General features: G+C 37.9%; 1 protein-coding gene and 1 non-coding gene across 6 annotated transcripts in view, besides 1 other annotated feature; one reads left to right on the top strand and one right to left on the bottom strand.

Moving 5' to 3' along the window:
• The window catches only part of RAB3GAP1 (RAB3 GTPase activating protein catalytic subunit 1), a 124,105-nt gene continuing 104,541 nt past the window's right edge, over nt 1,940–21,503 (top strand). For all 5 annotated transcript variants that reach the window (XR_001738674.3, XM_011510823.4, NM_001172435.2 and 2 more), the window contains exons 1-3: nt 1,940–1,973; nt 2,078–2,133; nt 7,659–7,734. Coding sequence is in view for 4 of the 5 variants with exons in the window: in XM_011510823.4 (XP_011509125.1) it covers nt 1,956–1,973; nt 2,078–2,133; nt 7,659–7,734 (150 nt within the window). In the remaining variant the exon portion in view is untranslated. The remainder of the gene's footprint in view (nt 1,974–2,077; nt 2,134–7,658; nt 7,735–21,503) is intronic.
• Nucleotides 2,513–2,652: an enhancer, noted in NCBI's record as "active region_16570". NCBI's record gives its function as "activates an Ori minimal core promoter by ATAC-STARR-seq in GM12878 lymphoblastoid cells {active_cell/tissue: GM12878}" and the evidence as "EXISTENCE:reporter gene assay evidence [ECO:0000049][PMID:35858748]".
• On the bottom strand, nt 15,280–15,382 carry LOC124906178 (small nucleolar RNA U13). The gene has a single exon (XR_007088763.1). It is a non-coding gene; the product is annotated as a small nucleolar RNA U13 (small nucleolar RNA).

Genomic DNA, 21,503 nt, shown 5'->3' on the forward strand with positions numbered 1-21,503 from the left:
CACTAGTCAGATTGGATTAGGGCCCACTCTAGCGGCCTAATTTTAACTTAATCACCTCTTTAAACACCCTGTCCATAAATACAGTCACATTTTGAGGTACTAGGAGTTAGGGCTTCAACATATGAATTTTGAGTGAGAATCCAATCGATTACCACCAAACTGGTTGCAAATACAAATAAGCTCCTAACAGGGGGCAGAGAAAGTCTTCACAGAAGAGCAAATATCCAAGCTGAAACTTGAAGGACAAATTTTACCAGGTAAACTATAGACACAAGGACATTGCAGATTCTAAACGACAGCATGTCCAGAGGAAAGAGAAAGCACAGGATGTCGAAAACATTGTAGGTGCATGTTAAAAGAGGCTGTCTATTAAAAGAGAGTGGCAGACACAAAAGATGTGCTGCTCAGACCTCCCTTAAAGAAAGACTCACTGCCCAGCTGTAAGGCGTGTGGTTAGATGAACAGCCTACGGCTGTTGGGTTTATCAGGTTTGTCTAACTGTTGAGCCAAGGACCTGCTATTCTTGGAGTGCTTCCTCCAGCCAAAAACTGAGCAAACAGTGATAGCCAAGGCCACTGTTTTCTTGGGGAGATCCTGGCCAATGATTGACGGAGCAAGGCAGTAGTACAAGGGGCTACGCATTTCCTGATGCATAATTTTTGCCCTAGCACTTCCAGTTGGACTTCAGAGACTTCGCCAGCTTGGAATTGTAGTGTCTGCTTTTTTAGAGCACCAGTCTGAAAAAAAAATAGTGAAAAAGCAAGCTGCAGAGTGGGAGAAGGTATTTGCTACATATATAAACAATATAAAGCTCAGATGCAGAATATATATAAATAACTTGAAGGTGTTAAAATAAAGACAAGGCCAGGCACAGTGGCTCACACCTGTAATCCCAGCACTTTGGGAGGCCGAGGGGGGCGGATCACAAGGTCAGGAGATCGGGACCATCCTGGCCAACATGGTGAAACCCCATCTCTACCAAAAATACAAAAATTAGCTGGGTGTTGTGGCGCATGCCTGTAATCCCAGCTACTCGGGAGGCTGAGGCATGAGAATCACTTGAACCCAGGAGGCAGAGATTGCAGTGAGCCGAAATCGCGCCACTGCACTCCAGCCTGGCGACAGAACCGAGGTGGGCAGATCATGAGGTCAGGAGATCGAGACCATCCTGGCTAACACGATGAAACCTCATCTCTACTAAAAATACAAAAAATTAGCCGGGCGTGGTGGCGAGCGCCTGTGGTCCCGGCTACTCGGGAGGCTGAGGCAGGAGAATGGCGTGAACCCGGGAGGCGGAGCTTGCAGTGAGCCAAGATCGTGCCACTGCACTCCAGCCTGGGCGACAGAGCAAGACTCCGTCTCAAAAAAAAAAAAAAAAAAAAAAAAAAAAAAAAAAAAATGAAGCGTTTGTTGAACACCATGTTGCTCTTCCCAGAAACCAGGTAACTAGTATGATTTTATTTCAGGACAATCAACTGAGCAACTTCTTGCAGGGTCAGGGGCAGAGGGTAGAAGTGGTATTACAGCACCTAGTTTATTGCCTTACAATCAATAAATAGAGGGTGAATGAAAAGAAACCCAATAGTTAAAGTGTAAGCTAATTGGTACTAACTACAAATATGGGTTGAATGAAAACAAACCCAACATGCTTTAGGTTTTTTAATACAATCTTATCCACATGAGTTTAGGGTCTTGTCCTATCACCTTGGCTTCTGTTCCCTTTCTGTATTCATCACAGGAAATTTTCAAGTTTTATGAAACCAGCTAGAGCGGAGTTTTATTAACCAGCTGAGGGCGGACTAAAGACTTAACAGACCTGGGCGAAGAAGCAGCACTCCTACTTACTAGGGCAAGACTCATGAACAGGGGGCGGGGGCTCCGGGGGCGGGGACGCGCCCCGTTCTCTTTCGCTCTTCTTCCCGGCAGCCTTAGCGCCAGGCCCGGCGCTCCTCAAGATGGCTGCCGACAGTGAGGTGATTTCTTTGCTCCCTACTTAATCCTTGTCACTATCTAAATTCGTTCCTCATGTCTTCGCCTTGGGGCTTAATTTCTTTTTCTCTCCTTCCCCTTCCCGCAGCCCGAATCCGAGGTATTTGAGATCACGGACTTCACCACTGCCTCGGAATGGGAAAGGTGAGTGAATCGCATTTTTGGTTACCAGCTCCCATGGGCCCTGGCGTCCCCTAGCCGCTTCCCTGACCCCAGACACACCACAAGTGACGCCACTTGTGCGGGAACGGTAATACCGTGGGTCCCGGGTCTCCTCCCCCAGTCTTCTTTGGTCAACCGCAAGCCTCTTCCGCGTCTCGCGTCTGGCAACACCCGGCCCGCCCCCGTCAGCCAATCCCTGAGGCTCAGGCTCTCAGAAAGTTTTGTTTTCTCTCCTGTCAGACCGCTTCCCTTAGACTTTGGTTTTCTGGTTGTTACCCACTCGCAAGAAAAATTTCCGAGGCTGCAACAACCGTTCCGGTTTTCATTACCGTTTAACTCATTATCGTAAGCAGTAAACTTGGTAGGTTGTGCCGCACCTCATCCCGTGTACGTTGGTATACCCTTTTCAGGAGGAAGTCTTTCTTCAGAGTATTGGTAGTTGTCCATCTGTCACACTCCCACCATCTCCATGCTGTCTTTAATTTTTTATTTTTATTTATTTTTGGAGACAGAGTCTCAGTCTGTCCGCCCAGGCCGGAGTGCAGTGGCGAGGTCATAGCTTACTGCGGCCTCGAACTCCTAGGCTCAAGTGAAGCTCCCGCTTTAGCCTCGGGAGGAGCTGGGACCACAGGCACGCGCTATTACGCCCAACTAATTTTTTAAAGATCTCGCTGTGTTGCCCAGGCTAGTCTTGAACTCCTGGGCTCAAGCCTGGGCCGCCCAAAGTGCTGAGATTACAGGCGTGAGCCTCCGCCCATCCTGTCTTTTAGAATAACCTTTTTAAAAAGTCTGCATATGGTTTTGGAATGCTTTGATTTAAGTTGTTACATTAAAGTGGGTACTGTGCCCAGGCTTCCTGTGCCTGTCAAATTCAGATGAACAGCTGTCTGGGTGAAACTGTTCTATTACTGAAATTAGTTGAAAGCCAAGTTTGTGGAGGAGTGATAGCTTAGATCGAGAAGGTTTCTGTTAAGTGTCACAGAAACCCTTCAGTTTCCTGGGTGTTGAAGTCAGTGTTTACGCTGTTACAGCATTTTATAATCTTTCTGGTTGGGAGAGGAAATTTGTGGATGTCGTGTCATTAGGTGGCACAGGAAAATATAAAAGGTCCTTGTTGGAATAATAGTTAGACCTGTGGTACCCTTCATAAAAGTGTCAGTAAGACATAACCACACTGGCAAGACTTCATTGAGTAGGTACTGGGTGTCCAGAGCTATATACAAAGGGAAAAGCAGAAACTTGACCCATATATTTTTAAAAAACAACAAACAGCAAATAGTTAAAATGTAAGCCAGTTGGTACTACCTGTAAAAATAATAATTAAAATAATTATTATTTAAATAGGGGTGATATTGTGGACTACAATAGTTGGAGATATTTTCATAGAAAAGATAGGAAATGAGCTGGGCCTTGAAAGTGGGAAGTGGTTGGTTAAACATGAGAATGGACTGACATGGGTAGAGACATAGGTGAGAATGAATCTTTGAAGGGACTGAATGAAGAAATATATCTTCACTAGAGTGAAGACTGTCTATTGAAGGGAAATAAATAAGGTTAACAAGGAAGACGGGATTGGGTTATGGACATCTTCCCAAACTAAATACAGGAATCCAGATTCAGTATTCCTATGACCAGTGATTCTCATACTTTAATGTACATCAGAGTCTTAGATTGCTGGGCCCCATCCTCAGAGTTTCTGATTCTGTAGGTCTGAGGTGGGACTGAAAATTTTGCTTGTGTAACACGGTCTCAGGTAATTCAGATGCTGCTGGTCAGGAGACCACACTTAGAAAGAACCACTGCTTAAGACAATAGTGAGAGACCCTTCGTTTTAGAGTGGCCAGGTGATATGATGAAAGTGGTTTTAGGACATGATGTAGAATAATGGTGGGAGACTTAACTTGATTCATAATTAGGATGGTGATTTGTGGACTGGAATACAAAGGGAACCTAGAAGGGAGGATTGTAACATATTTCAGAGAAGATTTAGGTAATAAACTTGATGATACGTTAAAAGTGGGAAAAATCAAATGTGAACTGTAGTTTTTTGCCTGTAAGAATGAATGTAAGGAAGTGTCAAAGTGAGAAGATTTGAACCTGTTGATTTTGAAATAATTTGATGTCTTGAAGGTAGTTAGAAAAATGTAATTCAAATCTTGGAGGGTGGGGTAGGGAAACATCAGTTTTGAATGGAAAAATGATCACTTTCCCCTAGTTAAAAATATCCTGAAGTGGAATATTAAGTCCTTTAGCTTTGCATATGGAAATAATTATTAACACCGTTATAAGAACTATTGCAAAGTAGAAAATTTGGTTTTTGGCTTTTACACTGTAGTGTGCATTTTACAATTCATGAGAGAAAATGTTAAGACTTTGAAGTCTCAAACCTTGAGTTTAATTTTAAATGAAAGATCTTGTGAGTACAATATGTTATGAACTATATAGATAATTTATTGAGAGAACTGTATAGAAGCCCATAACTCTTTTTATCATTTGTTCATTGACAATATTTATTGAATCCCCATATGTCAAGCACAGTGCACATTACGGATTTAGGGATGTGGTGGTTAGTAAAACAGGTACGGTTTCTGCTTTTACTAAATGTGCAGTCTAGTGCATTACAGACACAAATCAAGTAATACAAGTCTGTAATTATGAGTTTATGTAAGAGCTAGAAAGGGAAAGAAACCTGGTCTTATAAGAGCCTATAACAGAGGGACCTAATATAGAATAAGGAATCAGGAAATGACCCTTCATTTCCTGAGAGCTTTTAAGGAAAAAATTACTTAGTTTTTCTAGTCAAATCTCAATACTTGTAGGATAAAGTCCAAGTCTCTTAGCTAGTACTGATAGAATTCATTATTCATACAATAAGTATTTTAAGACATTCCTGGCCGGGCATGGTGGCTCATGCCTGTAATCCCAGCACTTAGAGAGGCTGAGGCAGGCAGATCACTTGAGCTCAGGAGTTCAAGAGGAGCTGGGGCAGCATGGCGAAACCTTGTCTCTACTAAAAATACAAAAGCTAGCTGGGCATGGTGATGTGCACCTGTAGTCCCAGCTAGTCAGGAGGCTGAGATGGGAGGATTGCTTGAGTCCTGGAGGACAGAACTGCAGTGAGCTGTGATTACACCACTGCATTCCAGCCTGGGTGACAGAGTTGAGACCCTGTCTCAAAAAAAAAAAAAAAAAGACATTTCTTCTTTTACTGTAAAAACTATATTTTAAATAGTTTTCACTATAATAGTAATACCTTATAGTAGAATAAAAAATAAAAATCACCTGTAAACTTAACACCAGGAAATAACTGCTGTTAATTTTTTGACATATTTCCTTTTTTTTTCTTTTTTTGAGACGGAGTCTCGCTCTGTCGCCCAGGCTGGAGTGCAGTGGCGCGATCTCGGCTCACTGCAAGCTCTGCCTCCCAGGTTTACGCCATTCTCCTGCCTCAGCCTCCCAAGTAGCTGGGACTACAGGTGCCCGCCACCACGCCCGGCTAATTTTTTGTATTTTTAGTAGTGGCGGGGTTTCACTGTGTTAGCCAGGATGGTCTCGATCTCCTGACCTCATGATCCGCCCGCCTCGGCCTCCCAAAGTGCTGGGATTACAGGCATGAGCCACCACGCCCGGCCGACATATTTCCTTCTAACGTGTGTTAAAAACTTTTTTGGATCAAATATTAATATTTCTTTTTCTTTTTCTTTTCTTTTTTATTTTGAGACAGAGTCTCACTCTGTTGCCCAGGCTGGGGTGCAGTGGTGCAGTCTTGGCTCACTGCAACCTCTGCCACCTGGGTTCAACCAATTCTCCTGCATCAGCCTCCTGAGTAGCTGGGATTACAGGTGCCTGCCACCGCGCCTGGCTAATTTTTGTTGTATTTTCAGTAGAGACGGGGTTTCACCATCTTGGACAAACTGGTCTTGAACTCCTGACCTCGTGATCCACCCGCCTCAGCTCCCAAAGTGCTGGGATTACACGCGTGAGCCGCTGTGCCTGGCCTTTGTATATTTTCTTTTGATTGACATGATTTTTATTGGGTGCATATTAGTCCTCTGAGTGGATTAATTTACAAGTATTTCCTGCAGTTGGGCATTAAGGTAACTTCCAGTTTTTTTAGCTTCGTAAATATAGTATACATTTCATGCAAATTTTTGCTTGCCTGTGGATATATTAAATTTTTCCTCTTTGGTAAACATGTAAACTTGTTTCTAGAGCACTGATTTTCAAACCTAGTAATTGTCATTTGACTGACCTCCCCCATGAATTAGTGTATGAATTGATACTGCATTTAATTTTAAAGAGGAATTAGTAAGAAGCCTCAGATGAATCATAGATTTATTATTACTATCTTAAAACATAATTATTAGTTCATATTAGTTCATAATGTCACTGAAGGAAAAAATCTGTTGCCTTTCCATACAGTTTGACTAGAATTAACTCTAGTACTCTAGCAGTACTTCCAGGTGTTTAGAGAGCAATGTTGCTGTTAGATTGCATCATACTTAGCTTATATAAGAAGTCAACTTAGAGTAAGAATAATTCTTCTGAAAATGTCTTTGACTGAGACTTGACAGTTTTCATTTACTGATGTTGAGCATGTTGCTACTCAAAATTCAGTTCTCTTTTTAATAGGCCTTCTTGACCATTGGATTTAAAGATTGGTGACTAGTTTTAAGACCTGTCACTTATACTTAAAGTTGACATATTTACTTGCAATTTCTTGTCAGCTGTCCATTAAAACTTGTTTTAGTTTCATGAACCAAGTTACCAAATAATATTTTCTTTTTTTGTTGGGGGCTGGGGGGGTAAATCGGAATTCCTAATATATTTAAAGGAAAAGTTTATTTAAATAGGTCAGTTATTGTGGGTAGGAGAGAGATGATTGGTTTCATAATTTTATTTATTTATTTATTTTTGAGATGGAATCTCACTCTGTCGCCCAGGCTGGCGTGCAGTGGCGCGATGTCCGCTCACTGCAACGTCCGCTTCTATGTGATTTTTGTGCCTCAGCCTCCTGCGTAGCTGGGATTACAGATGTGTGCCACCACACCGGGCTAATTTTTTTTGTATTTGTGCTGGGCTGGTCTTGAACTCCCAACCTCAGGGTTAGGAATTCAAAGGGCTGGAATTACAGGCATGAGCCACTGCACCCAGCCCATAATTATCTTTAATAGTATCATTTTAGTCTGTCAGTTTTTATTTGTGCCCCAAATTTGTTTTATTCGTTTTATTAGAGATTCATCAATTCTTAATTTACATTTTATAGAAGGCAGAATGCTTTTGTTGGGTAAGCAATAGATATAAATGAATCAAAACCTAAGAATTCTTGAATGAAAGAAGATTATTTCTCTTACCCCATATCCATAAATTAAGCTAGCAATACTAAATGTACTGAGTCCTCTCTGGTCAAATTGTTAAAATATAAAAAATACCTTTTTAAAGAAATTACATAATAATAGGAAAAAAGGTGTGCTGTTGTATTTAGAAGCTTTCTCCCTACTTCCTAGGTTTATTTCCAAAGTTGAAGAAGTCTTGAATGACTGGAAACTGATTGGAAACTCTTTGGGAAAGCCACTCGAAAAGGTCAGATCTATTTGCTGGTGTCTCTAAATGACTATTTACTTTGAAACCTCTATTTTCCAGCCCTTTGCTGCATTTGGCACATTTGAATTAAATGTTTTTTAAAGTTACGTATAATCTATAAACATCAAATAGCATTTGGAAGAATTTGGATTTAAATCTGTGGCAAATGATATATGTAAGACATTTGTGAAATGTTTAATAAAGTTATATATATGTGTGTGTGTATATATATATATATAAAATGTCATTCTTTGTGAGTGATTCTTTGTGAGTGAAGTTTGCTTCTCTTTTGCCTTCTCCCTTGGAATGTTAAAACATGTTTTTAAAAGTTTTTTATTTGGTCAGAGAAACATTGCAGTGACCATCTTCTTTGGTAGCATATTTTGCTTACTAATGAGGAAAATTCTAGTACTTACCATTGACTTACTGTAGTTAACAACTATTTCACTCAGTTTTTGTATTTTATAATATCACTAATAACATCCCCCTTCCCTTTTAAGCTTTTTAACTTATGGATGTTTTAAGGATTTTATTTAAGAATGAAAAAATTACTCTTTGAAATTGAGGTAGAAATCAAATTCTAATCTAAAGTATTGGTAGTTTTATTCATAAACCACACCCCAAATGTTTACTGAAGAATGTACTCTGAGAACAAACCTGGATTCACTGTGAAGGGATCTAACAATTTGATTTTAAGTTTATGTAGATGCTTAGTTTGTTAGATAAATTCTTTTGAAATAAAATTTATGGTTGGTTTTATTACAACTCAATATTACTAACTCAGTGATAACTTATTAACTCAGTAATTATTAATTCAATAGTAATTTAATTATAATTTACCCTGTGTTAGGAACTTTGAGTTCTCAATATTTGCTAGGGGTTTTCAGCTTTGTGATGGTGATACTATCAAAAAAGAGACTGTCAAAATGCATTAGGAAGCCAGGCAACATGGTGAGACCCTGTCTCTTAAGGAAAAAAAATCTCCTTATTTGTATCAATATGAACAGAAAAAGTAAGACCACATATAAAAAATACATCATTCAAAGACTCTTGGCAATATATACATTGATTTACTACACTACATGTGTGAATAAAGAAAATGTGACGCTTTCAAACACGGGTCATTCTACTCCACTTGAAACAAATACATAACAATTGATATAGATGCCAATAAGATTAGAGGCAAAATAAGCTGGATATAGCTAGAATAGGAAATGATTTACACTACTAAGAAGAGAGCTAAACCGGGTACTTATGAGCTCTGATATTCTTTCATTCTTTGATTTACATGTATTTACTGAGTACCTGCTATGTGCCTGATGTGAAGAAATTGTGAACAAGATAAGATCAGTGTTGCCATTGAACATAAATTCTAGTGAGGGTGATCAGTAAAGAAACATTAAAATTTTATTTTATTATTATTTTTTAAATTGATATATGATAGATGTACATATTTTGGGGTACATGTGATAATTTGATACATGCATATAATCAAATCAGGGTACTTGGGAACCCTTAAATATTTATCTTTATGCTAAGAACATGCAAGTTACTCTCTTTTAGCTATTTTGAAATGTACAGTCAATTAGTGTTAACTAAAGTCACTCTAAGGGTTAAAGTTTTAGATGCTAAATTCAGTTTTGGGATTTAAGTGGGTAGTTATTTAAAGTAGGTAGCATACTGCCAGGCATGTAGTAGAGGCTAATGAAGTCATAGCTCCAGTCTGTTTCTCCCTACTAGATAGTAGTACATAAATAAGATACAGAAAATATGGGCAGATTTCAAGGTGAGCTGTAACTATGATGAATATGAAGAAAGTGTAGAGGACAGGGATTGTTTGGTGTAGAAAACAAAGTTTAGAGACTTCCTTTGAAGATTTTAACTTATATGAAGGACAGTGATTATTAATTTTCTCCTCCACTGAGGGGGAATTAAGGGAAATTATTTATTAAAAACCTTTAATTATGGAAAATTTCAAACATATATGAAGTAAACAGAATAGTATAATGAACTCCCATGTACCCATCACTTAATGTCAACAATTAATACTTTGCCATTTCTTGTTTGAGTGGTACCTCTGTTTACTCCCCTACCTCCACTAGATTTTTTTAATAGTTTTTTTTTGGGTAAGATTTATATACATTGTAATGGACAAAACTTAACTGCTTGATTTTTTTTTTTTTTTTTTTTTGAGACCGAGTCTCGCTCTGTTGCCCAGGCTGAAGTGCAGTGACATGATCTCAGCTCACCGCAACCTCCACCTCCCGGGTTCAAGAGATTCTCCTGCCTCAGCCTCCCAAGTGGCTGCGACTACAGGCACCCGCCACCACACCTGGCTAATTTTTTGTATTTTTTAGTAGAGACGGGGTTTCACTGTGTTAGCCAGGATGGTCTCGATCTCCTGACCTTGTGATCTGCCCGCCTCGGCCTCCCAAAGTGCTGGGATTACAGGTGTGAGCCACCGCGCCTGGCCAACTGCTTGATTTTGACAAATGTTCACATGGGTATAACTTACACTCCTGTCAAGATAGAGGTCATCTCTGTTACCCCAGGAAGATCCTTAGTGACCCTTTCTAGTTAATTCCCATGCCCTCCAGTCATCTGCTATTATTATTATTGTTATTATTATTATTATTTGAGACAGAGTCTTGCTCTGTTGCCCAGGCTGGAGTGCATTGGTGTGATCTTGGCTCATTGCAACCTCTGCCTCCCGGGTTCAAGCAAGTCATATGCCTTAGCCTCCCAAGAAGCTGAGACGACAGGCATATGCCACCTTGCCTGGCTATTTTTGTGTTTCTAGTATTTTGTATTTTCACCACGTTGGCCAGGCTGGTCTCCAATTCCTGGCCTAAAGCAATCTGCTTGCCTGGGCCTCCCAAAGTGCTGGGATTACAAGTGTGAACCACTGGGCCCAGCCTTTTTTTTTTTTTTTTTTTAAATAAACATAAATTACTGTCACCTGCTTTAGAACTTTACATTTAGGTGACCATAAATGTCCTTGACATCCTTTACTCACGATAATGTTTTTGAGATTCATCTAGGTTGTTGTACATACCAGAATTTCATTTCTCTTTATTGCTGTGTAGTAAGTGATCTGTTTTATGAATATACATGGTTTCTTTCACTTGTCCACATACGTACTATTAGGAATAAAGCAGAACATTATTGTATGAGGCCTTTTGTGGGCATATGTTTTTATTTCTCTTGAGTAAATACCTAGGATTGGAATCACTGGGTAATAGGATAGGTGCAACTTTATAAGAAACAGCTAGAGCTTTTTGTACTGTTTTACCTGCCCACCATCAATACATGGGAGGTTGTGTTGCTATACATTCTCACCAACAATCAGTTGTTTGCAGTCATGTATATTTTAGTCATCTTAATGGGTATGTAGTTTGTGCTTTTAATTTATATTTCTCATTTTGGTTTTAGTCTGTATTTCTGTGATGATATTAATATTGACCACTTTGAATTTTCATGCATTTATTAGCCATTTGTTTATCTTCCTTTGTGAAATGTCTTTTCAAGTTCTTTATCCATTTTAAAAATTGGATTTTGTTTTTATTGAGTTGTAGGAGTTCTTTTAGTTTTTTTTTGGTATATATATATTCTGCTTTTAAGTCTTTTCTCAGTAGTTTTGCTAGGTTGTGAAGATGTTTTTAATGCATTTTTCTAGAGGGTTTACCAATTTATCATTTAACCTTTGTTAAGGTCTATGATTTATTTTGAGCTACTATATGGAGGGAAGTAGGGATCAAGTTTCTTCTTCCTTTTTTTTGTGTATGGATATCCTGTTGTTCTAGAACCTACTTTGGAAAACACTTTTTCCATTGAGTTGCTTTGTCACCTTTATTGAGTAGTTGACCTAAGTGGTCTACTTCTGGAGTCTGTATTCTGTTTCATTAGTCTATTTGACTATCCTTATGTCAATACCATATTGTCTTTTTCTTTTTTTTTTGAGACAGAGTCTCACTCTGTCACCCAGGCTGGAGTGCTTGATCTTGGCTCACTGCAGCCTCCTGCCACCATGTTGGCCAGGCTGGTCTTGAACTCTTGACCTCAGCTGATCCGCCCGCCTCGGCTTCCCAAAGTGCTGGGATTACGGGCATGAGGCACTGCGCCCGTCGTATATTGTCTTGATTACTGTAGTTTCAGGTTTCCTAACCTTGGCACTATTGACATTTTGGGCCACATTGTTGTGAGGCTGTCTTATGCATTGTCAAATATTTAATAGTATCTTTGGTTTCTACCTGCCAGATGCCAGTAACATGTTTCCAGTTGTGACAACCAAAATTGTATCCAGATATTGCCAAATGCCCGCTGAGGGGCAAAATTGGCCCCAGCTGAGAACCATTGAATGGATTTTTAGTAAATCCTGATGTTAATGTAAATTCTCCATTTTTGTTGTTTTCCCAAGATTTTAGATCTTTTGTGTTTCAATTATGAATTTTAGAATAGGCTTGCTAATTACTATAAAAAGGAGTATGATTATGCTGAGACTGTAATTGGGGTTGGGTTGAATTTGTAGATCACTTTGGAGACATTTTAACAGTTTTGAAAGTTCTAGTCATGAACATGGCACATCTCTCCATTTATTTAGGTCATCTTTAATTTTCCTCAGCAACATTTTGTAGTTTTGGTAGAGGTCTTGTATATCCTTTGTTAAATTTATTACTAAGGATTTTATGTTGTATGATGCAAAAATAAATGGAATTGTTTTTTAGTTTTGTTTTCCAGTTGTTCACTGCTAGTACATAGATACATGGTAAAATTTTGTATGTTAACTTTGTGTCATAACGCCTGGCTAAACGCACTTATTAATCGTGATCATTTAATTGTTCTGCATTTTTCTACATTAATAATTATGTTGCACACAAATAGGGACAGTTTTACTTTCTTTCCAATTTTTATACCTTTATGACTGTTATTGTACTATCCCAGACCTTCAGTGACATGTTGAGTAGAACTGCTGCAAGTAGACATCCTTGCCCTCTTTAAATGTGAAGTGGGGGGAAATGTTCAATGCTTCAAAACTTAAGTTAACTGTAGGTTTTTTAATAGGTGTCCATAAGACTGAGTAAATTATTTTTTTAGTTTGCTGAACGTTTTTTGTTTTTATTGTAAATGAGTAGTCAAGTTAGTAAAATCTTATTTAGCATCTATTGAGATAATCATATAGTTTTTCTTTTTTATTTTCTGAATATGGTAAATTATGTTGATTAAAAATTTTTTTGTTGTAAAATGTAAGATTTACCATTTTAACGATTTTTAAGTGTAAAATTTAGTGGCATTTAGTACTTTCACATTATTGTGCAATCATTACTACCATCCACATCCAGAACTTTTTTCATCAGCTCAAACTGAAACTACCCATTAAACAAGAACTCTTTCCCCACCCTCAGTCCCCTGGTAACCACTCTTCTACTTTCTGTCCATGAATTTGACCATCCTAGGTACCTGATATAAATGGAATCATACAGTATTTGTTTTTTTGTGTGTGTGTCTGGCTTATTTCACATAGCATAATGTCTTCAAGGTTCATCCAGGGTTATAGCACATGTCAGAATTTTCTTCGTTTTTAATGCTGAATATTAATATTGTATGTATATATCACATTTTGTTTATCTGTTCATCTGTTGATGGACACTTGGGTCGCTTCTACCTTTTAGCTATTATAAATAATGCTGCTATGAACGTGAATGTACAAATATCTGTCAGGTTCCTGCTTTCAGTTCTTTTAGGTTTATACCCAGAAGTGGAATTGCTGAATTATTTGATGGTGCTATTTTTAACTTTCTGGGGAACTGCCATACTTTTGGCTGGCTACAAATTTTGTTTTTGTTTTCCTGAAAGATTTTGCCGTATTTTTGAAGGATAGTTTTGCTGAAGAGTGCTGGCTTGATGCTTATTTTTTTCCACTTCTATAAAGATGTAGTTCCATTGTCTTCTGTTCTCTGGAGTTTCTAAGGAGAAGGTAGATATATTCATATTTTTGTTTGACTTTGTTGTTTTTCTCTGGCTGCTTTTGAGATTTTTTTATTTAAAAAAATTTTATTTCAGCCATCTGACTATGATGTGCACAGATACGTTTTCTTTGTATTTTTGCTGCATAGGGTTTATATTGATATTGGATAAATTTTTGTTTTTCACCACATTTGGGGTGTGTTAGGTCATTATATCTTCAAAATTTTTTTGCCCCATTCTCTACTCTTTTTCTGTGACTTAAGCTATACTTAACATTTGACTTGTTGATCCTGACCCACAGGTGGGTCTCTGAGGTTCTGCTGTCAGTCTTTTTTCTCTCTGTTCCTTAGGTTGAATAATTTTTCTTGATTTCGAGTTCATTTTTTCTTTCTTCTTTTGTTTCCAACTTGCTGTTAAGCCTACCTGCTGTATTTTTCAATTCAGTTATTGTACTTTTTAGGTTTAGAATTTTCATTTGATTCTTATGAAAAACTTCCAATTCTCTGAGATTACTTATCTCTAAGTTTGTTTGAAACTTGAGTGTATTTATTATAGCTTTAGTCCTTGAGTGTATTTATTATAGCTAGTCTAATGCCAGTTGCATGACTAGGTCTTTTTGGGGTTGGTTTCTGTTGATTATGTTTTTTTTTTTGAGTATAGATCACATTTTCCTGTTTCGTTTTGTTTTTTTCCTGAGGTGTTTTGTTTTTTTTTTTTTTTGATATGTGTATCCAGTAATTTTAAAGTTTCATGCTTACATTATGAAATGTAGAGACGAAATGTAGTCTACATTTTATTTATAATGTAAGCATAAATTTTCATTCATAAAATTTATAACATTTATGTTGTGTTCCTCTGAAGAGTATTTTTTTTTTTTTTGGTTGTAGAGAGTGGTTTGCTTGGCTAGATTAAAACTGCATTCTCTTTTCAGTGATGGCAGCAGCTGAAATCTTTTCTTTCCAGCTTTTTCTTTGTCATCGTACCCTAGAATCTCCTCTGCACATGCATGGTTTAGCAGATAGCCAAGGTTTGGGACAGTTTATATATAAATTTGGGGGACTTACCCCCTTTTGGCTTCTTCCCTTCCAGAATTTACACCTCAATGTTAGAACTGTCCTGTCACCCTCAAACTTTGTCCGGTGTCACCTAAATTCAGTAAAGCTATATCTTTCTGCTTCCCGAGTTGTACACAGATTAGAGCCCCCTTAGATCAGCAATTCTCAGTGTGTGATCTGAGGACCGTTGTCTGTCTCTGAGAACTTTGCAAGGGGTGATCAGGGTCCCTGCCTTTTCCAGTTAGGTACGTGTGTACTTGAGGCCAAATTTTCTTCATATACTTCAACTAGAACAATGGATTGCAGTGATTCATTGCAGAAGCAGATATGAGAATATAGTTAACTTTTTAAAAGCTATACATTAAACAGATTTGCAAAAAGGTAGAACAGGGTTACTCTTCTCATTAATATTTTTGTTCCAGAAAATGTCATTAGAACTTATATGTTAAAATATAAAAAGTTCATCATTATTTGTAATGAATTAATAAATTACAATTTTTTCCTTTTCAATTTTTTTGTGTTTTCATGTCAGATGGTAATGTACCAATGTTGTGACAATGTTTGAGGGAGGCATATCTCATATGTATGCGTGAAAACTTAAACGTCACGCTTTCGAACTATGAAAGGATCTCTTAAAATTTCTAATACGGGATCTTCACTAATTTTTTTTTTTTTTTTTTTTTTGAGACGGAGTCTCACTCTGTCACCAGGCTGGAGTGCAGTTGCGCGATCTCGGCTCACTGCAACCTTTGCCTCCCAGGTTCGAGTGATTCTCCTGCCTCAGCCTCCTCAGTAGCTGGGACTACAGGTGTGCGCCACCATGCCCAGCTAATTTTTTTTTGTATTTTTAGTAGAGATGAGGTTTCACCATGTTGGCCAGAATGGTCTCAATCTCTTGACCTTGTGATCTGCCTGCCTCAGTCTCCCAAAGTGCTGGGATTACAGGCGTGAGCTACTGCACCCCGCCAGTAATTTTTAAGAGTGTAAGGGTGTCTGAGTCCAGAAAGTTTGAGAATTGCTCTTAGACAAAAAGGTATAAACAAGTGCCTGTTGTCAGATACACTTTCTTTTTCTCAATGGGTAAACTCTTCCCAGCTTCTGCCTGCATTTGGTCTCTCTCCAGAGCATTGAAAAATGGTGTTTTTGTCCAGATTTTATAGGAAAGTTTATCTGACAAAGCTGCTTTGCCATTACCAGAACCCAAAGTGCTGGGAAATGATTTTAAAAGGGAAGGAAATGGCAATTATTGAGCACCAGCTATGGTATTGGTATCATGCACTATAGTTGGGACTGTGTCTGTTAACTTAATCCTTAAACAGACTTCAACAGTTAGTTATAACCCTATTTTATGGAGGAGAAATAAGGCTTTGAGTTCATGTGGTACTGTAATTTTCCCAGTGTCATTTTGCCAGTAGTTTTGGTATAAGCGGGATTAAACCTAGGTCTTGCCTTCAGAACCCATGTTCTTTCTATTTTACTCTGTCCTTTTTGGTTTCAGAAATTTAAGTGTGTGTAAAATTACTTCCAGTGAGTATTAACATAGGTTTCTAAGGCAGATTTTGGGATTCTGTTGTCTGGGGCTTTATAAAATAGATAAAAATCTTGGTGGTATGAGTATGATCCTTGAAGGCAAGGGAAGTAAAGAAATGACCTTTTAAGTTCCTTTTAGCCTTGTAATTTTATGATTCTATTTAGCTAGCAAAAATTTTAAGTACTTTTAATGAAATGTTAAGTTTAGGTATGTCATGATCCAGTAATATAACTGTTTAGTCAGTGACTGACTCGTATCTCCCTGAAAAATTCATGGAAGAAGAATTAGCTTGAGAGTATTAATAGAATAATAATGACTACAATGATGTTGAAATGAGTTCACATTTTTCATACCCACTCAGTAGATGGGAATGACACTTCAGTACTTAAAGTTCATATGGCAAATTTAAAATGAATTTGAATTATAAATTTTCTCAATTAGAAACTTCCCAAACTAAGTTATAACAATAAGTCAAATTTGGGACTTATATAAACTTTATATAAACAGTTTAGATTCCTTTATTTGCATTATCTCAGAACATTTAGTTTTTTTATGGAGTATTAAAGTGGAGGAGTATATGTTTTATCAAAGCTGAAGTTTTTGGAAACTAAAGAAGGTTGAGGATCAGTCACTGATGGGAATGCAGTGTTTTTGAAATTCAGTAAATAAAAACAGAAGCAACATTGAGCTACTCACAACCTTGTTTGGAATGGGACATGTAAGATAAGGTTTGTAGTTTGTTTTTTTTCCTCTTCATTTTTATTTTTCCTTTAAATCGTAACCATAGTGTCTATAGCTTCTTTGGATATTATGTAGAAGAAAAAAAATAGGTGTTTTGTTATATCTCTGATTCATTCAAATTGGAAGTTTTGGGAATCTTGCTGTTATTGTTGTCAACATTTTTATTGTAATATAAAAATGGCAGGAGATATCTTTAAGAGGCAGAATAGCACACATAGGTGATGAAGAGTATGCACTTCAAAGTGGTACAGCTTGTGTTGGAATCCTAGTTCTGTTGCTTATTTGCTTTGTGGCATTGTGCTGTCTCAGTTACTGTTAGTCATTATTTATTGTTTTTGCCTTTCTGTCTTAATTGCTGTTATTATTTTTGAGAGAGGGTCTTGCTGTTACCCACGCTAGAGTGCGGTGGCACCATCTTGGCTCACTGGATGGAGCCTCAACCTCCTGGGCTCAGGTTATCCTTCCACCTCAGCCTCCTGAGTAGCTGGGACTACAGGTACATGCCACCATGCCCAGCTAATTGGTTAAATAATTTTTTTTTCTGTAGAAATAAGGTCTCACTATGTTGCCCAGGCTAGTCTTGAATTCCTGGGTTCAAGTGATTCTCCCGCCTCAGCCTCCCAAAATGCTAGGATTACAGGTGTGATCCACTGAGCCTGGCCTCTCTTACAAGTATTTACTAGAGTCAGTAAAATGATACTTGCTTAAGTAGAGTAGAATATAAACATAGAATTATTTAACACTCTATTGCAATAAAAACGATTGTTTCTTAGAGCACCTATCAGTTAAAAGCATAGCACCTAGCTGGGGGAAAGCTTTATGTAATATATTCTGGCTGAAAAAGCTCAAGTTTAATTCTGAGATAGATAAGAATTAAGTATCTTTTTAGACATTTTTAGTTCTATTATTTCCTAATTCTTTTATATATTTTTAATGATTTGCTTGCCATTTAGTTACAGCACAATAACTAAATTTGTGATAAGTGAAATTTTCAATATGCATTATGAATTTCACTTTGAACTTAAATTTGGTTTAAGGTATATGCCACTAAAGGAAGTAGACTATAAAAATTTTTCTTAAAAAAAAAAAAAGAGGCTGGGCGCCGTGGCTCACGCCTGTAATCCCATCACTTTGGGAGGCTGAGGTGGGCAGATCACCTGAGTTCAGGAGGTCAAGACCAGCCTGGCCAACATGGTGAAACCCTGTCTCTACTAAAAATACAAAAATTAGCCAGGTGTGGTGGCAGGCACCTGTAATCCCAACTACTTGGGAGACTGAGGCAGGAGAATCATTTGAACCGGGGAGGCAGAGGTTGCAGTGAGCTGAGATCACGCCACTGTACTCCTGCCTCGGTGACAGAGTGAGACTCCATCTCAAAAAACAAAACAAAACAAAACAATCCATGCTTATTTTAGACACTGTTTGATGTAATGAAATTTCTCTGTAATTCTAAACAACAAACATCAATCTGCTATGAGAGTTTTTCATAAATTAATACTCATTTTCATTACACGACGTGCTAACTTAAATTTTACCACTTGGCTGGGTAGGGATCACATTTTGTTATAATGAATGCAACAAAAAAGATTTTTCACAAAAAATAAGTTAACAAAGCCATAATCATTTACGGGAGATTTTGGCAGTTACATCTCTATTGCTGTGACTCTTAACCTTTTTTATGGTCTGGCATACAGAGGGTGTAATTTGGTATCATTAGTAATAACAGTTAATTTGATAATTCATTTATTACATACACAACACATTGCCTGGTATATGCTTAGTACATGTTTGTTGATTGACTCCCCAGAATACACGATTAACCCCTTGAACTTGTCATGTTCCCTTTGTATAAGATATGCAGTGTAAACAGACCACATTTACTTACCTGGGAATTTTGTTAAAATATGGTGATGGTGGCATTTTTAAAAGCATTATACAGAAGATGGAAAGTCTTCTGGATGGTCTTGTACCTTTTAAAATAACTGTAGTTTAATTTTTCTGCATTTAGTTTTATAATTAACCATTTTCTGTACTTTTTTTTCTTTATTTAGTCATTTTTCCCTTTAGGTTTTTGATTTAGTGATTTGATTTTTCCTTCTAATGAATTTCATATAAATTGGCAAGTTTTATGGATGAGTCATTTTCTAAAACTTTGTAAAAATGGTTGTTGAGAATTTCAATTGCATTTTTCCATAGAACAGATGTGTTTAAGATATGTTTACAGGGTAGCAAATAAAATATTAATTTTTTCTCTCTACTTTTGGGGCCATGTCATAAAAGATTCTTCATCATCTCAACTACTTCTTTTTGTTCGTTTTATTCATTTTTTTCATTTATTTATTTGTAGAGAGCCTACTGTGCAGTAGGAATTATCCCCCTCACTTCCTGTTTATTAAAACAACCTTCTACCCCTGCCCTCCCTCACCTCCAGATTATTAAACCCTTTTCCCTTTACTCCACAGTCATTTTATCTCAGCTGTCATACTTTCTGTGCCTCCCTCCAGGAAAGGAAAAAAAATTTTTATCTGAGGAATGGGAGCTTCTTTAAATTATCCATCAGAAAGAGTCATTTAAAATGTAACAGCAGTCTCACCTCTCCTGAGCTAAATAATTACCTTGAAGCCACTTGCCATGTGGGTTGTTAAATGATGCCAATGGCCATAAAATGCCATACGATGGGTATTATAATTCATACCCTGTAGTTCAACAATGTATAGCCAATCACTAATCAGTGTTATCTCTGTAAACCAATGAGAATTCCTGTCAAACAACTTGGTATCAGCTCACTCCTTGTTTCCTTTAAAAACCTGTTTGTAACAGAGGCAGACAGACAGACAGAACACCCCCCAAGGCAACTTGGAAATGTGTCCCGGGCTGCAGTCCTCAACTTTGGCCCAAATAAAATCCCTCTGTTATTTTGCCTCAGCTTCTTCTTTTAGGTCAACATGTGTAACTAATGACTTGGAGCTGTTCAGGCAGTTAGAGTTCAACCAGTTTAAAAGCCACATAGCTCATCGTGGATAGAAGGACTTTACCATGGTATATAATGGGTGTTCTTTCTGTCTTTAGTTTTTTAAGTAGAGATAGGGTCTTGCAGTGTTGTCCAGACTGGTCTCAAATTCCTGGCCTATAAAAGGAATTATTATTTTTATTTATTTATTTATTTTGTCAGCCAGCTGGAGTGCAGTGGCGCAATCTCGGCTCACTGCAACCTCTGCCTCCCAGGTTCAAGCAGTTCTCTTGCCTCAGTCTCCCGAGTGTCTAGGATTACAGGTGCCCACCATCACGCCCGTCCAATTTTGTGTTTTTAGTAGAGATGGGGTTTCTCCATGTTGGTCAGGCTGGTCTCGAACTCATGACCTCGTGATCCGCCCAAAGTGCTAGGATTACAAGCGTGAGCCACCACGCCCGGCCTGTAAAGGGAATTCTTAATCCAGAGTCTTGGGTCTCTTTAAATTGTATGCATTCTTAATTTTGAATGTGAATATGCACAATTTTCTTGGGAGGTGGTCCATAGCTTTTGTCAGATACTCAAAGGAGCCCATGACCCCAAAAAGGTTAAATAAAAGCTAACGTTTAAAAATATTTTGGTATATATTCATTATTTTAAAAATTAATGTATTTCATGTTGACAGAATTTATATATACAAAGGCTTACTTGAACATGTACTTTTGGGACAGCTTGTATGATAGAGACTACAGGTTTGTGTGGAAGCCACAGTTTATGCACATACAGGACTGGTAGTTTTTAAGTTGGTGAAATTTGTCCTTGATACCCTTCTACCATCTTACCCTTTTTCATAATCCTAGTATCCTGGCCTTGAGGCCCAGAGCCTCATTTTACTGGCCCTTAAATGCTCCAAAATTACCCACTTTTTTCCTTTGTTTCCAGTCTCTACCCCCCTAACTTCATCCCCTGTCCAAAATATTATGCTAATCCTAATCAGTGGAAAGCAGTTTTATTAATTTATTTAAAATATTTGAATGGATGGTAATTACTTGATGTTACAAAAATAGTTTGGTTTCATATTTTACTAAAATAGTCACAGAAACTTCTTTTAGGCTCCTATCTTTGAATTCCTTTCTGTTGTGGGTACGACTGGCTGGGGCTGGTGTTGCAGGTAGTAAAATAATTTACCAAGACAGTCGTAGGTTAAAAAAAAAAAAAAGAATTATTAGAGAAAGTATGAAGATACAAAGATATGTTGCAAGGGTGCAAGTGCAGCACAACAGAAAAGGGGCTGTCTGCAAAGAGGAAGGAGCTGGAGGGGCCTAAATGCAGGATGAGGTTATGTTCCTGGGGCTACATGCTCCCCTTCCATGTTGTTGTTTACCTATCAGGTCTCCACATTCCCCCCACAGCAGAACAATGATGACAAGTCTTTGACATTGAGGGTAGAGGTCTCATCTCCCAACCACTTCCTGCTAACCATGGGTATGGCAATGGCCCTGCCAATGGCTGTTGGTCTGTCAGGAGA

The sequence above is a fragment of the Homo sapiens genome, chromosome 2, assembly GCF_000001405.40.
Source record: "Homo sapiens chromosome 2, GRCh38.p14 Primary Assembly".
Taxonomy (NCBI): Eukaryota; Metazoa; Chordata; class Mammalia; order Primates; family Hominidae; genus Homo; species Homo sapiens.